The sequence below is a fragment of the Homo sapiens genome, chromosome 3 (genome assembly GCF_000001405.40).
Source record: "Homo sapiens chromosome 3, GRCh38.p14 Primary Assembly".
Taxonomy (NCBI): Eukaryota; Metazoa; Chordata; class Mammalia; order Primates; family Hominidae; genus Homo; species Homo sapiens.
Genome location: NC_000003.12, coordinates 88359695 through 88374068, shown reverse-complemented (window position 1 = coordinate 88374068; position 14374 = coordinate 88359695). Strand labels below are relative to the sequence as shown.

At 35.3% G+C, this 14374-nt stretch overlaps 1 protein-coding gene across 6 annotated transcripts in view; it reads right to left on the bottom strand.

The window, feature by feature from the left end:
- CSNK2A2IP (casein kinase 2 subunit alpha' interacting protein) overlaps nt 1-14374 on the bottom strand; it is a 129139-nt gene that overhangs the window by 93526 nt on the left and 21239 nt on the right. For 2 of the 6 annotated variants that reach the window (XM_047447366.1, XM_047447367.1), the window contains one exon: nt 4585-4703. The exons of the other annotated variants lie outside the window; for them this stretch is intronic. In XM_047447366.1, the coding sequence (XP_047303322.1) occupies nt 4585-4703 (119 nt within the window). The remainder of the gene's footprint in view (nt 1-4584; nt 4704-14374) is intronic. 6 annotated transcript variants of the gene reach the window in all.

The following is a 14374-nucleotide window of genomic DNA, read 5'->3' as shown; positions in this document are numbered from 1 at the left end:
CTGTATAGAATTGGTATTGTTTATTCCTTAAATATTTGATAGGATTTACCAAAGAAGCCATACATACCTAGAGTTCCTTGATAAAATGGATTTAAATTACAAATTTCAATAATTCACTATTTATTAATACAGGACTATTAGGTTATCTCTTTTATCTCAAATCATTTTTATCTTTCAAAAATTTCATCTTATTAATTTTTGTAATGTATTAGCATAAAGCTGTTCATAAGAGTCTCTAATCTTTCGAATCTGTTTATTCTGATAGCTCATCTTTTATTTTTTATATTGGTAATCTGTGTTTTCTTATTTTTGCTTGCTCTGTCAAGTTATCAAGTTTTTTTATTTTTGAAAATAATTAACTTTTGGCTTTATTGCATTTCTCCATTTTATTCATTTCTAAAAATTTAAAATTTCTATTTCAGTAATTTCTGCTCTTAACTTCATTATTTCCTTTTTTTTTTTTTTACTTTCATTACATTTAATTTGTTATTCTTTCTCCAGCCCATGAAAGCAGAAGCTTTGACTTTCAATCTCTCTTCTTTTGTGGGGGAAGAATTTATTGTTACAAATTTTTCTCTAAACACCACTTTATTATATCCCAAAAAATTTGATATTTTAAATTTTGTGATTTCAATTTCATTCACTTCAAAATTTCTTGAATTTTCTTTTATTTCTTCTTTAATCCATTGATTATTTTTAGAGTTTATTAGTTGACTTTCAAACACATGTGATTTTCCATATGTCTTTACTATTAATTTTTAATCTGGTTCCACTGTGGTCAGATAATATACTTTTGGTAAGTTCAATCCTTTTGAATGTATTAATACAGTGTTTTATTGCTCAGAATATAGTCTAATTTGCTAAATGTCCCATGTTCTTCTGAAGAGAAATATATTCTACTGTTGCTGGCTAGAGTATTTTATAAATAACAATTAGGTCAAATCATCTGAGAGTATTGTTTAATTTTTCTATATCTTTACTGAATTTCTGTAAACTTGTTCTATCAATTACTGAAGAGAAACATAATTTACAGCTGTAATTGTTAATTTGTCTATTATTTCTTGTAGTTCTATCCAAGTTTTTCTTCAAGTATTTTGCAGGTCTCTTAGTAGATGAATTCACATTTATAATTGTTATATCTTTCTGTTGTATCAAAACTTTTATTAGGAAATATCCACCTCTGTCTCTAGTAATAATCCTTGTGTTAAATCTATTTAATGTGATGTTACTGTAGCCACTTCAGCTCTCATATGCTTACCATTTGCACATTATGGTTTTTCTATTTTTTTACTTTCAACATACTTATATTTAAAATGCAATATAAAAAATTAAACAAAATACATCTCTCGTAGGCAAGATATATGTGGGTCTTGCTTTTTTTATCTATTGTGACAATCTCTATTGATTGAAGTTTGTTTACATTTAAGGTAATTAATCAATATGCCTGGACTTATTTCTGCCATTTTGCTATTCATCATTTGCTTGCCTCACTTGTATTTTGTTCCCTTCTTCCTCCCTTCTTTGGGTTAAACAAATTTTTTGTCATATAACTTAACTTTTCTTGTGTATTATTAGCTAAATTTCTTTACGTTTTTTAATGATTGCTCTAGGATATTAACACTAATCTTTAAATTATTTCAATATATTTAAATATTGACATTTTTGGTGATATATAGGAAGCTTGTAACAATATAGTTTCATTTAATGCCCTCGTCCTTTGTGTTATCATTTTCATATATAATGTTAGATTGGTGCAAAGGTAATTGCAGTTTTTGCCATTAAAAGTAATTGCCAAAACTTTTGCATAAAAGTAATGGCAAAAAACACAATTACTTTTGCACCAACCTAATACATCAATGTGTGTTATAAACTTAACCATATAATGTTATAAATTTGGCTTTACATAGCCATAGATCTTTTAAAAAATTGAAAATTAAGAGATAGCTATAAATATCTACTTATATATTGGCAATAATGTATAATATCTGGCCCTTTTTGTTCTTTCCTTTATGACTGATTACTTTTCAGCCTGAAGGTCTTGTTTTCACTGGTGCAACAAACTATCTCAACTTTTGTTTATTGGAAACTCATTTTGAGAGACAGCTTGGCTGGGTATAGAAATCTCAGTTAATCTTTTTGTCATTGTTGTTCTTTAAGCACTTTGAATATGTCATTCTAATGCCTCCTGGCCTCTATTATTTCTGATAAGAAGTCAGCTTATAATTTTATCATAGTCCCCTGTATGTAATTGATTTATTTTTCCTTTGCTGCTTTCAATGTATTCCATTTAATGTTTGATTCTCAACATTTTAACTATAATATGTGTAGATGTGGTTTTCATTATTTTGCAATTTGGGACACACTGAACTTCCTGTAGGTATAAGTTCATATTTGTCTTCAAATATCAGAAGTTTTCTGCCATCATCTCTGGAAATATTTTTCTGTCCCTTTCTTTCTTTTGTTCCTTTTTGACTCCAATTACGCATGTGTTGAACCAGATGATACTTTTTCACCAGCCTCTGAGGAAGCTTTGTTCATTTTTCTTTATTTTTATTTCTGCCCTTTGTGTTGGATATTGAACTATGTTCATGTTAACTAACTTATTCTCTGCCATCTCCAATCTACTTTTGAACCCATCTAAGGTATTTTTATTTTCAGTTATGGTAATCTTCAATTTTAAAATTTCCATTTGGTTATATTTTAGTTTTAGTTTTCATTTCTCTATTAAATTCCCTGTTTACTCTGCAATAACTCATTTCCCTTCTATCTTTGAACGTATTTTTCTTTATTGAAAACTTATAATAGCTGCTTTGATGTCTGTGTTAATTTGACATTCTGACCCACTTGCAATCAGTTTGCATTGCTGGATGGGTTTCTTCCTGCATATGCATCACACTTTCCATTTTATTTCATATTTCTTATTTCTATGGCTAGTAATTTCTTGTTGCAAACTTGTCATGACCATTTGCTCAGGCTGCCATAACCAAATACCATAGAGTGGTTGGTTTAAACAACATAAATTTATTTTCTCATTTCTGAAAGCTAAAAGTCAAAGAGGAAGGTGCTGGCTGATTCAGTATCTAGTGTCTCTTCCTGGCTTTCAGAGGGCTACTTTCTCATTATGTTCTCACCTGGCCTTTTCTCTATGTGCGTGCAAGGAGAAAGAGAGCAAGAATTCTCCAGTGTCTCTTCTCATAAAGAAAATAATCTTATCAAATCAAGGCTCCACTTTTGCAACCTCATTTAAATTTAATTAGTTCCTTGGGACTAATTGGTTCCATCTCCAAATACAGTCACATTGGGGGTTAGAGCTTTAACATATAAATTTGGGGGGACACAAACATTCAATCCATAACAGATGTGAAAGTTGCAGAATCAAAATGGATTTACTTGTGTTTTTTCAAAAAATGAAGAAAGAAAGAAGAGAGAGAGAAAAGAAAGAAAGAAAGAAAGAAAGAGAGAGAGAGAGAAAGAAAGAAAGAGAGAGAGAAAGAAAGGAAGGAAGGGAGAAAAATGGAGCCAGGGAAGGCCATGAAGTGTCCCTTCATGGAAGGGAGGGTTCTCATGTGTGAATGCTGAATAACAAAAACTATCATGAAAAGCTACAAAAAAACACAACTTTGCACAGAAGTCATTGAGATCTTACGCAAAAATTACTTCTGTGAATATATCTGTCTAGCCACTGCTAGTCCAACCTTTGACTGATGTCACTTTTGTTATTGATCCTTGTATTCAAGGATAATTATCTCAAAATAATCATGTAATGTTTCTAATTTTTCCTTTTAAAACCTCAGTCTTTTCTTTATCTCCCTGAATATGCATATAGTTTACTATGGCACCTGTATCCCATTGCAATGCCCATTCCAAATAAATATTATTTTCTTTCATAGTGTCTCCTGTCTGTTATTTAGGCTGGCACAGCTGGTGTGTTATAGTGGCTCTGAAATCTCCTTTCTTCTTCATAGGATTGCTAGGTTTTGGTTCCATAAGCCACTAACTTGCCTGGAATCAAACTGAAATTTGTCTCCCCCATGGTGTGAAGAAGCTGATATACTGCCAAGTGTTCTTGGATTCCAGTTGCTGCTTTTTCAGCCTAGGCCCCTGGTGGCCTCCGCCTTGTCTGTTTTGTTTAGGAGTCTGCCAAATCTGAGTTTACGCTCAGATTTAAAGGCTCACCCTTTTGGTGGTTTCTTGCCTCTAGGTCCCCCTAGTAAACTTCCAGTTGCTCTTCTTATGCCAGAATTCTACCTTGTAACAAATCAATCTAATAAGGCTTCTGTTTTCTGCCACCCAAACTGTGTGTGGCCAGGGAATGTACTCAATCAAAGACAGGACAAACTCCAGTATCTCACCAGAAGCAATTCTGTCTTTCAGGAACAGGCCCACCTCTACTCTCTCCCTGCTTTGTCAACAAACTCCCTGGGTTCATCCAGAAATTTTGCAAAATTTTTGCTCATTTCAGCTCTTTGGTGGTGCTCCTCCTTCTAGAATTTTCCCTTAGGTATTCAGCAATTCTTCTGCCCTGAAACTGAGTCATGTAGGCTGAGGTTTTGCAATAACAAGCCACAATGTTACACTTTCTACCTGACGCTGTAGCAGTCTTTCAGTAATAAACTCTTCTGAAGTTTTTGTCTTCCTTTGGTTATTTTCCAGTGCCTTCAAATTACTGTTTTTAATGATTTTCCAGTTTCTGTAATTGTTTTCTGCAAGAAAAATAGTCTGAATTTGTCACACAACACACACACACACACAAACTTGCAAATCCAAAAATTTATTTTTCCTTCAACTACAGCAGAATACAAAGTCAATATCCTACAAGGCCGTTCATTCTCTAACCTCTGCCTAAACAGCTTGTCTCATTTCTTTTCACTCTCCTTTTTGTTCACTATGCTATAGCCATAGTAGCTGTAGCTGATAATCAATAGGTTGCCTAACCAGTAATTTCCCCAATCCTTGCCCTCCAAAAATAAATTTTATTTCATGTCCTTCTTTTTGCCATGAAGGTTATGTGTCTCAGGATTGTGGGGAGTATAGGGTTCCTCTTCTCAGTCATACCTAGATGTGGGCCTGATTTACCTAAGGGTAGATCTTTCCCCCACCAGTGATTATTTCAGGATTGATCATTTGGAAGATTTGAGGAACATGTGAGGAGAGGTTTACAGAGCTTGTGAGAAAGTTCCTCCCCACTCTTCCAAGAGACTTTCTGGAATCAACTTTCTTGCCCTCTAAACTTGAATGAGGAAGATCTGTTAGCTACTGGCATCCACCCTAAAATCACAAAGTGAACTGCCCTTCAAGGGGTACAGATCAAAGGTCAATGCAAACACATTGGGAAAGAAAATAAAAGAAGAAATAAACTCTGGATTCCGAATCATGGGATCAAACAATCCTGAAAACAACCTGACCTTTGCAGTTCTAGTTATATGAGTGAAAAAGTATCCTAATTACTTAAACCTATAGGAATTTTTTGTTTGTTTGTTTCTTGTGGAGGAAATCATACTGGCATTCTTTCCACCACAGAAATGCCAAACTTGTTTCTGATTTAAGATATTTTCAATTATTACTACTACTTCTTAAGGTCTCTTTCTCCAAATCTTAATTTGTCTGTCTCTATGGCATTGAAACCTCAATTCAAATGCCTCTTCAGACAGTGTTTTTCCAACCAGCCTAACTAAAATAGTCTCTCGATCACTCTCTAGCCAACTTTTCTATTTTGAACTTATCATTATGTGATATTATATAACTTCAATTTTCCCTTTGTTTTGTCCATCTTTTCCAGCAAAAATGTCACCTGCTTGAAGGCAAATGCTCTGTCTTGTTACTACTGTATCCCCAGTGCCTAGAAGAGGACCTGGCAACTAGTAGGCCCTCAATAAATGATTATTAACTGAAAGACATCTCAATTTGGCTGCAAACAGTTTTAACAATGAAACTCATTCCCTATTAGAATAGAATTCCTTCAAACTTACATTATAAAACTAGTTTACTTATAAGAGAAAATGTTAATGACATTGTCTGAAGTCCACATTGTTTAGCTCATACTTTTTGATCCCCATAATTCTTTGGAAATTTATACCTCCAAAATATTGGTATATTCATTTTCACAACAGAACGCTCACTGCTACTTTAAAACTAGGATTAAAGGTCAAATTCCTGATAACAAATCTTTTTTCTTGAAAAATAAACCAAATACTATCCCCTTAACCATTACTCAAAAGATTTGCATTTTTAATAAGTGCGTTCCAAATGAGGTTTAGTTCAACCAGCCTTTGCAAATTAGCAATGGTTCATATGCCCAAAGAACAAATTATTTAGATAACACAGGAGTTCTGTTCAGCAGTATCAGATGGATCATTCCTGAGTGTTGAAAAGGGCCATGTGCGTTTTGTTGGTGTGAACGGCTTGCATTAACCTGTTCAGACTTAGGGATCTGTTTTCCAAAGCACTGTCTTCAACAAAGTTAAAGGCAAGTTTTGAAAACACAGATTTCTGAGTGTTAAGGAAGTGTATATGTACAATGTGGAGACCCCTTATAACTTATTTTTTGTTGTTGTTCTTATCTCCAAAATCTTTTTTTATCTTAATTACAAATATTGTAGGACAATAATGCATGAAAAATAAAACATCATGTGTTAAGCCACTCTCATAATCTCAAGCATTATCTTTACTGCTTTCTTTCCCCAATTTCCTTGTCTCTGACCCTATGACACCTTCTGTACCTCAGCCTTAAATAACCAGTGCCCTCATACATAATTAAGGATTGCTCTGAGAATGACTTTCACAAATGAAGCTTTGGCTTCCCCCAAAACTATTTGACTCTTCTTTTCACTTTTATTTCGTTTTCTATTTGTGTATATCGGGAAGGTCCTTTTGATAACAATGAGGGAGCAGGTTCAAGCACAAGTTAAGTTTCTGAAAATAAAATTTAAACTTACAATATTGATTATGCCCTGATATGGTTTGGCTGTGTCCCCACCCAAATCTCATCTTAAATTGTAGTTCCCATAATTCCCATGTATTGTGGGAGGGACCCTGTGGGAGACAATTGAATCATGGTGGCGGTTTCCCCTATACTCTTCTCATGGTAGTGAATAAGTCTCAAGAGATCGGATGATTTTATAAGTGGCTTCCCCTTTCACTTGGCTCTCATTCTGTCTTGCTGCTGCCATGTAAGAAGTGCCTTTCGCCTTCAGCCATGATTGTGAGGCCTCCCCAGCCATGTGGAACTGTGAGTTCATTAAACCTCTTTTTCTTTATAAATTACCAAGTCTCAGTTACGTCTTTTTCAGCAGTGTGAAAACAGACTAATACATGCCCCTATTTAAGAAAGATTTCCTTGTCCTTTGCATTCACTCCAATTACATATTTTGCCCTTACTTTGCCTTGCCTTCCCCCTCCTTCAATATAACCACTACCTGTTTCTCTTTCTTAATCCTAGAAATTGGTTGTAACTTTAACACTCCAATTAAAGTTATCCTATATGTATCCATTCTCTGCTAAAATATAAACATGGTAGGGGACACAGAATTATAGCTTGAGGATATAAAGTATTCTGTTTTTAACTTCAAGAATCATTTGCAAATCAAACTTAAGTATTTGTTGACATGAAAATTTCAAATCTCTTTTAGAAAAATAAATTTTTCTCTCATAATTTGCTTTATAGGTTGATTTTAAGTCTTCCCAGCTTCATCTGGTTTTCAGTTGACTCACTCCAGAACATGATGACAACAAGATACCCATATACAACTGTGGCTTAGCCATTGTACAAACTGCCTAAACTGGAATGCCAGTGTTGCCTTGTCACTCCTGTGCTCTGAAGCATTTTAATCATGGAACTGGCCACAAATGAAAATCCACGACCTGGCACAAGTCTGTAGGTCTGTGGGACCTCAAAGTGCTGGAGTTTAAAATCCTCTGCCAAGGAGCAAATGCTACAGAGCAGGAAAACCACACTAAACAAAATCAGATGAAAGAGAATATTGCCAAAATGCAGTAACGTTTGGACAGATTTTCACATTATAATCTCGTTGGGTACAGTATACATTGATGATGATCTCCTTTCTTAGTCTGAAATTGGCACCACCTTTTCATTCAATCCTCATCAGAAAATTTAAGTAAATAATAACCCCCTTAAAAGAGTACATCATTAAAATGATAATAATAATATGTTTCCCTGAGTTAAAATGGTATTACAGGGCTGATCTTCCATGAGATTATCACATAAATATTAAATCAACAGCCAAGAAACTTGGGGATTCCACAGGCATTGGCCCTTTGATATAGACTCATTCTCGTACATTCCTCTGTTACAAGAAGAAGCTTCAGGTGACCCTATACCTAGAAGGTATTGGAGTTCCTCTCTATCACTGGTGAAGGAACTAGCCAAAGAAGCCAAAAGGGGCACTGCATAAAGATTAAGTTCTAAACAATGATATAAGGATCTTTTCTTGGGAAGGGATACATGACCAAGACCCAGATTACTTTAGGAGTGATGACAAGTAATGAGCTCCAGAAAAGCGAATCCATCCATTTATTAGATTTTCTGATGGCAGGCTGAGGACCTGGGAATGTTTCCTTACCCATAAAATGAGGTGTCCCTCAACTTCTTAAATTTTCCTTAAGGCCCAAAGAAACTCATTCAATATGACAAAGTACAAAAAATTCCCATAGTCTTACCCTCCACCTCCATTTCAGCCAATATCATGGGTGATCTGAATGTCCATAAATATGAATGATCAAAAATCCTGCCTAAAAGTTATTAATTTACCTCAGTTCTAACTACATTCACTTCAATTCTACTTCATTTAGATTTAAAATTACTCAAAGCTGTTCTTTCCCTGGTATTGTTAACAGTAATGTTCTGCTTTCTGACCATATCCTCTAATCCTTCCAGCTGTCTTGTATATTTTGATCTATTTCTATTTTAAACTCGTTGGCAATATAGTCAGTGATTAAGTGTGTGGGCTCTTAAATCAGGCTGCTTGGATCCACATCCTGGATCAGACACTTCCTAGCTGTGTAAACTTGGGCAAGGCCTCAATTTCCTTATCTAAAGAAATTGGAATTATATTTAATCTAGCAGATACTCATAACTGCATACTAAATTTGTTACGAAAATAAAATGAGATAATCTGGAACAGTTAGCAGAGTGTAGGTGTGGCACATTGTAGGTGCTAAATAAATGTTAGCTATTTTTCACTCATTTATTCCTAAATTTGTTAATTTTCTTATAATTTCTTCCATATCCAGTCTAAAATCTGTGCTTCATTGTATTTTCCACATAGATAAATTTAGCCAACTAACTTCTCTGCTCCACAACAAGTCTGCTGGAAACTGGTGGAAAAATTATATAACTCAGGGAATTAATACAATCATTAATTTCAGGCCTTAAAATAGCAACTGTTCTATGGTATGGTTCAGTAAGCCTTTTACAAGTCATCAATCAACAATATCTCTAAATATCGACAACATGTATTACCAGTTTTTAACCCACTCTTCCAACATCCTATATTATCTCCTTTCTATAAAAATTTTAAAAGATAATAATAATTCTTTATTATTACTTACATTATCTCTCTTTTTCCCTTATATTTTTATACTCCTGTCTCACATTATTTTATGTCTGCCCTAACATTTGTTGAATCCACGGCAATAGTACAAATGGAAGCCCCCATGCAATATTTTTAAATATTTAAAAGTTATATTTTATAATCTCCTGATTTCACCCAAGATGAAGTAACAATAACTAGATTTACCATCCCACCTGAAGCAATACGCCCTCCAAAAAAAAACAGACAAAACATATAAAATGATGTTTTTCAGAACACTGGACACAAGTCAACAAATTACAGGGATCCCCGAGAGATGGGAGACATATGAAGTGAAATTTACACTTGATTTTATTTACTACCCTGAGAGAATTCTTGGACCATGGCATGATGAGGGAGAATTCAGGAGGATCCCAGTGAAATCCCTGAGTTGAAGAGACAGAGCTGAGAGTGCAGGGAAGACAGGCTACTAGACTGCCAAAGACAGACTATCAAAGAAGAGAGTATTGCACAGAAGCAGGACCTGGAAAATCCACAAAGGATCTCCCCAAGTATCATGCAGAGAGATGATCAATGTGAGGTAACTATCCAAAGCCAGGGGAAGAAAACCTCAGGAACAATGCCCTAGCACTAACACAGGGTTAGGAAGCATGCCTTTTCCTACCAGCCAGACTCAGAACATTTATTATATACAGGTGATTTGGTGGAATACTCAGAAAGGTCTTGCATCAGTGGTGAGGAAAAATTAACTTATAGCACTAAACTGAAACCCAGTGAACAAGTCATAAAAGGAAAACCAGAAAGGATATAACTGTTTCCAAGTAACTTAACTGCATCCTGGAATGACATTCAAGAATACTTATAGAAATACAAAACATATCTAGCACTCAGAAAGGTAAAACTAATGATGCATGACATCCCATCAAAGTTTATGAAACATGCAAATCAACGATTACCAAGCATGAAAGCAAAGATACCAAGCAAGAAGAGAAAAATCAGTAAAATGAAACTGATCCCCAAAATAACACAATTAATTATTAGAAGTAGCAGAAAGTAATAAAATGGTTATACTAACTGTATTCAATTAAAATTAAGTAGAGACATGAAAGATACTTTTTAAAGGCCCAAATCTAACTTCCAGAGATGAGAACTTTACGACTGAAGGGAAATACACTGAATAGGATTAATGGTAGATTAGACATTGCAGAAGAAAAGATTAGTACATTTGAGAATATAAGTATAGGAAATATTAAAAATGAAATACACAGAGAAAAAATATGAAAAATTAAAGAGCATCTAAATGTTCTAATTTAACATATAACAAGAAAAGAAGCCTTGAAGAGGGTAGGGAGGAAAGTCTTGTATTGCTTATACTGCCCATCCCCACTCTGCAGGCAGTGTAGCTCAAAGAGAAAATTTTTGTGCTTGAGGGAGGGAGAGTAAAAGTGTTGTGGGACTTTGCTTTGGAACTCATTGCCACCCTGTCAAAATGGAGCATGACTCTGGACAGAATTCCACTGATGCCCACAGAGGGAGCATTTAGACCAGCCTTGGGCCAGAGGGAAAAACGTTAGCTGCAGTGGCCGCAGGAGTGTGGGTATCACTTCTCCCCCAACTCCAGGTAGTGCAGCGCAGAGAGGAGTCTTAGGGAAAAGAGAGGGAAGACTACAAAGGACTTTGTCTTGCAACTTTGATGCCAGCTCAGCCACGTTAAAATAAAGCACTAGGTAGATTCCTGAAGCTCCTTATTCCAGGCCTTTGCTCCTGAACATCATTTCTAGATCCACCTAAACTGAAAGGGAATCTGCCACCTTAGCGTGGTGGAGCCAGCCCCAGTAGGATTTACTACCTGCTGACTAACGTGACCTTTGGCTTTGAATAAACATCAGGAGCAGCCAGGCAGTAGCAGCCATGGGCCTTGGGCAAGCCCCAGTACTGTGCTGGTCTAAGAGGTCATGGGCATTATGTATCAGTGTGGAGTCAGCTGTGGTGGCTACAGGAGTATCTATGCCACCCCTCCCTCAACTCCAGGCTGCTCAGTGCAGGGAAAGTCTCCTTTTCTTTGGGGAAGAGTGAGGGAAGAAAGAGCAAGACTTCACCTGGAAATCCAAGGAATTCTCCCTTATCTTCCCCAAACCCACCAAGGCTTTCTATCTAGAAGTCTGCAAGAATCACAGCATTGCTGGGTTTAGATCACTCCCTAGTGATGAAAAAGCTGCAGTGAGCAAGGGTTTAGGTAATAACCCCCAATCTTTATTAAATTCTCTGAAAGCTCTCTTAAGAAGGACAGGTATAAACAAGCCCAGACTGTGAAGATCGGAATAAATACCTAACTCTTCAATGACCAGATATCAATGAATGTCCAGCACCAAGAACAGCCAGAAAAAACATGACCTCTCCAAACAGACTACATTTGTCACCTGTGATCAAGCCTTCAGTGACAGAGATATATGACTTCTCAGATAAGAAATTTAAAATAGCTGTCAACTGTCTTGAAGAAGCTCGACAGACTTCAAAATAACATAGAAAAGGAATTCAGAGCTCTATCAGAAAAAGTTAAAACAGAGATTGAAATAATTTTTAAAACTTCTTGAGCTGAAAACTTTAATTGACTAACTGAGAAATGCATCAGAGTCTCTGAACAACAGAACTCACCAAGCAGAAGAAAGAATTAGTGAGCTTTGAAGACAGGCTATAAGAAAATACACAGAGGAGAAAAAAAGAAAAATGAAATATACTTACAAGGTTTAGAAGAAGGGCAAAGTAAAAATTATTGGCCTAACAGAGGAGGTAAAGTAAAAGATCAGAGTAGAAAATTTATTTAAAGAAATATTGACAAAGAACTTTCCAAACCTAGAGAAAAATATAAATATCTAGGCATAAAGAATGTCAAAGAACACCAAGCAGATTTGACTCAAATAAGACTACCTCAAGGCATGTAATAATCAAACTCTTAAAGGGTAAAGATAAAGAAAATATTTTAAAAGCAGCAAGACAAAGGAAGAAAATGACACATAAAATGGTTTCAATCCTATGTTTAGCAGCAGGCTTCTCAGTGGAAAACCTACAGGCCAGAAGTAAGTGGAATGACATATTCAAAGTGCTGAAGAGGAAAAAAATCTTCCAACCCAGAATATTATATCTGGCAAAGTTATTTTTCAAAAAGGAAGGAAAAATAAAGACTTTCCCAGACAAACAAAAGCTGAGGAGTTTCACCAAAACCAGCCCTATCTTACAAGAAATGCTAAAAGGTGTTCTTCAGTCTGAAAGAAGAGAGCACTAACAAGTAAAAAGAAATTATCTGAAGGTATAACACACTCACTGGTAAAAGTAAATACACAGACAAATACAGAATACTCTATCACTGTAATTTCCATGTCTAAACAACTCATAAATTTAGTATGAAAACTAAAAGACAAATCTACCAAAAATAATAACTACGACAATTATATTTTAAGAGATAGAAAACATAAAAAGATAAATAAGGACAACAAAATATCAAAAAGTGGAGTGGGGAATGGATTTAAACTGTAGAGAGTCTTAGTTTTCTCTTTGCTTGTTTTTTTGTTGTTGTTTGTTTGTTTATTGTGATAAGATCTAAGTTGTCATCAGTTTAAAATAATTGGTTATAAGTGTTATTTGTAATTCTCATGGTAACCACAAAGCCAAACCTACAATGAAAACGTTAAAAATAAAAAAAACCAAAAAATTAAAACATACTGCCAGAGAAATCCACTTATACACAACAAAAGACATGAAGAAAGGAAGAAGGTAGACAAACAAAACAACCAGAAAGCAAATAGCAAAATGGAAGTAGTAAGTTCTTGCCTATTATTAATAACATTGAATATAAATTGAACTAAATTATTCCATTGAAAGTTTTCTTATTCATTCAGAGTACCTGAATGAATAAGAAAACAAGATCCGACTACATGCTGCCTACAAGTAACTCACTTGACCTGTAAATACATGCATAAACTGAAAATTAAAAGATGGAAAAAGATGTTCTATGCAAATGAAAACCAAAAAAAAGAGCATAAGTAACTATACTTACATGAGATAAAATGGATTTCAAGACAAAAACTCTTGGCCGGGCGCAGTGGCTCACGCCTATAATCCCAGCACTTTGGGAGGCCGAGGCGGGTGGATCACAAGGTCAGGAGATCGAGACCATCCTGGCTAACACGGTGAAACCCCGTCTCTACTAAAAATACAAAAAAATAGCCGGGCGTTGTGGTGGGCGCCTGTAGTCCCAGCTACTCGGGAGGCTGAGGCAGGAGAATGGCGTGAACCTGGAGGCGGAGTTGTGGTGAGCCAAGATCACGCCACTGCACTCCAGCCTGGGCAACAGAGAGAGACTCCATCTCAAAAAAAAAAAAAAGACAAAAACTCTTTAAAAAGACGAAGAAAGTCATTGTGTCATTGCAAAGGGGTCAATCCAAAAGGACATAGCAATTATAAATATATATACACCCAACACTGAAGCACACAGATGTATAAAGCAAATTTTATTGGAGATAGAGAGATTCACCCCTAAACAATAATAGTTGGGGACTTCAACACCCAACTTTCAGCAATGGACAGATCATCTAGACAGAAAATCAACAAAGAAACAGACTTAACCTGCACTATAGACCAGTTGGATCTAATAAGTATTCACAGAATATTTCATCCAACAGCCACAAAATACACATTATTCTTCTCAGCACAAGGAACATTCTCAAGGACATACCTTAAGATAGGCCACAAAAAACATCTTTAAAAAATTATAAAAATTGAAATCATGCCAAGTATCTTTTCTGATCACAATGGAACAAAACTAGAAA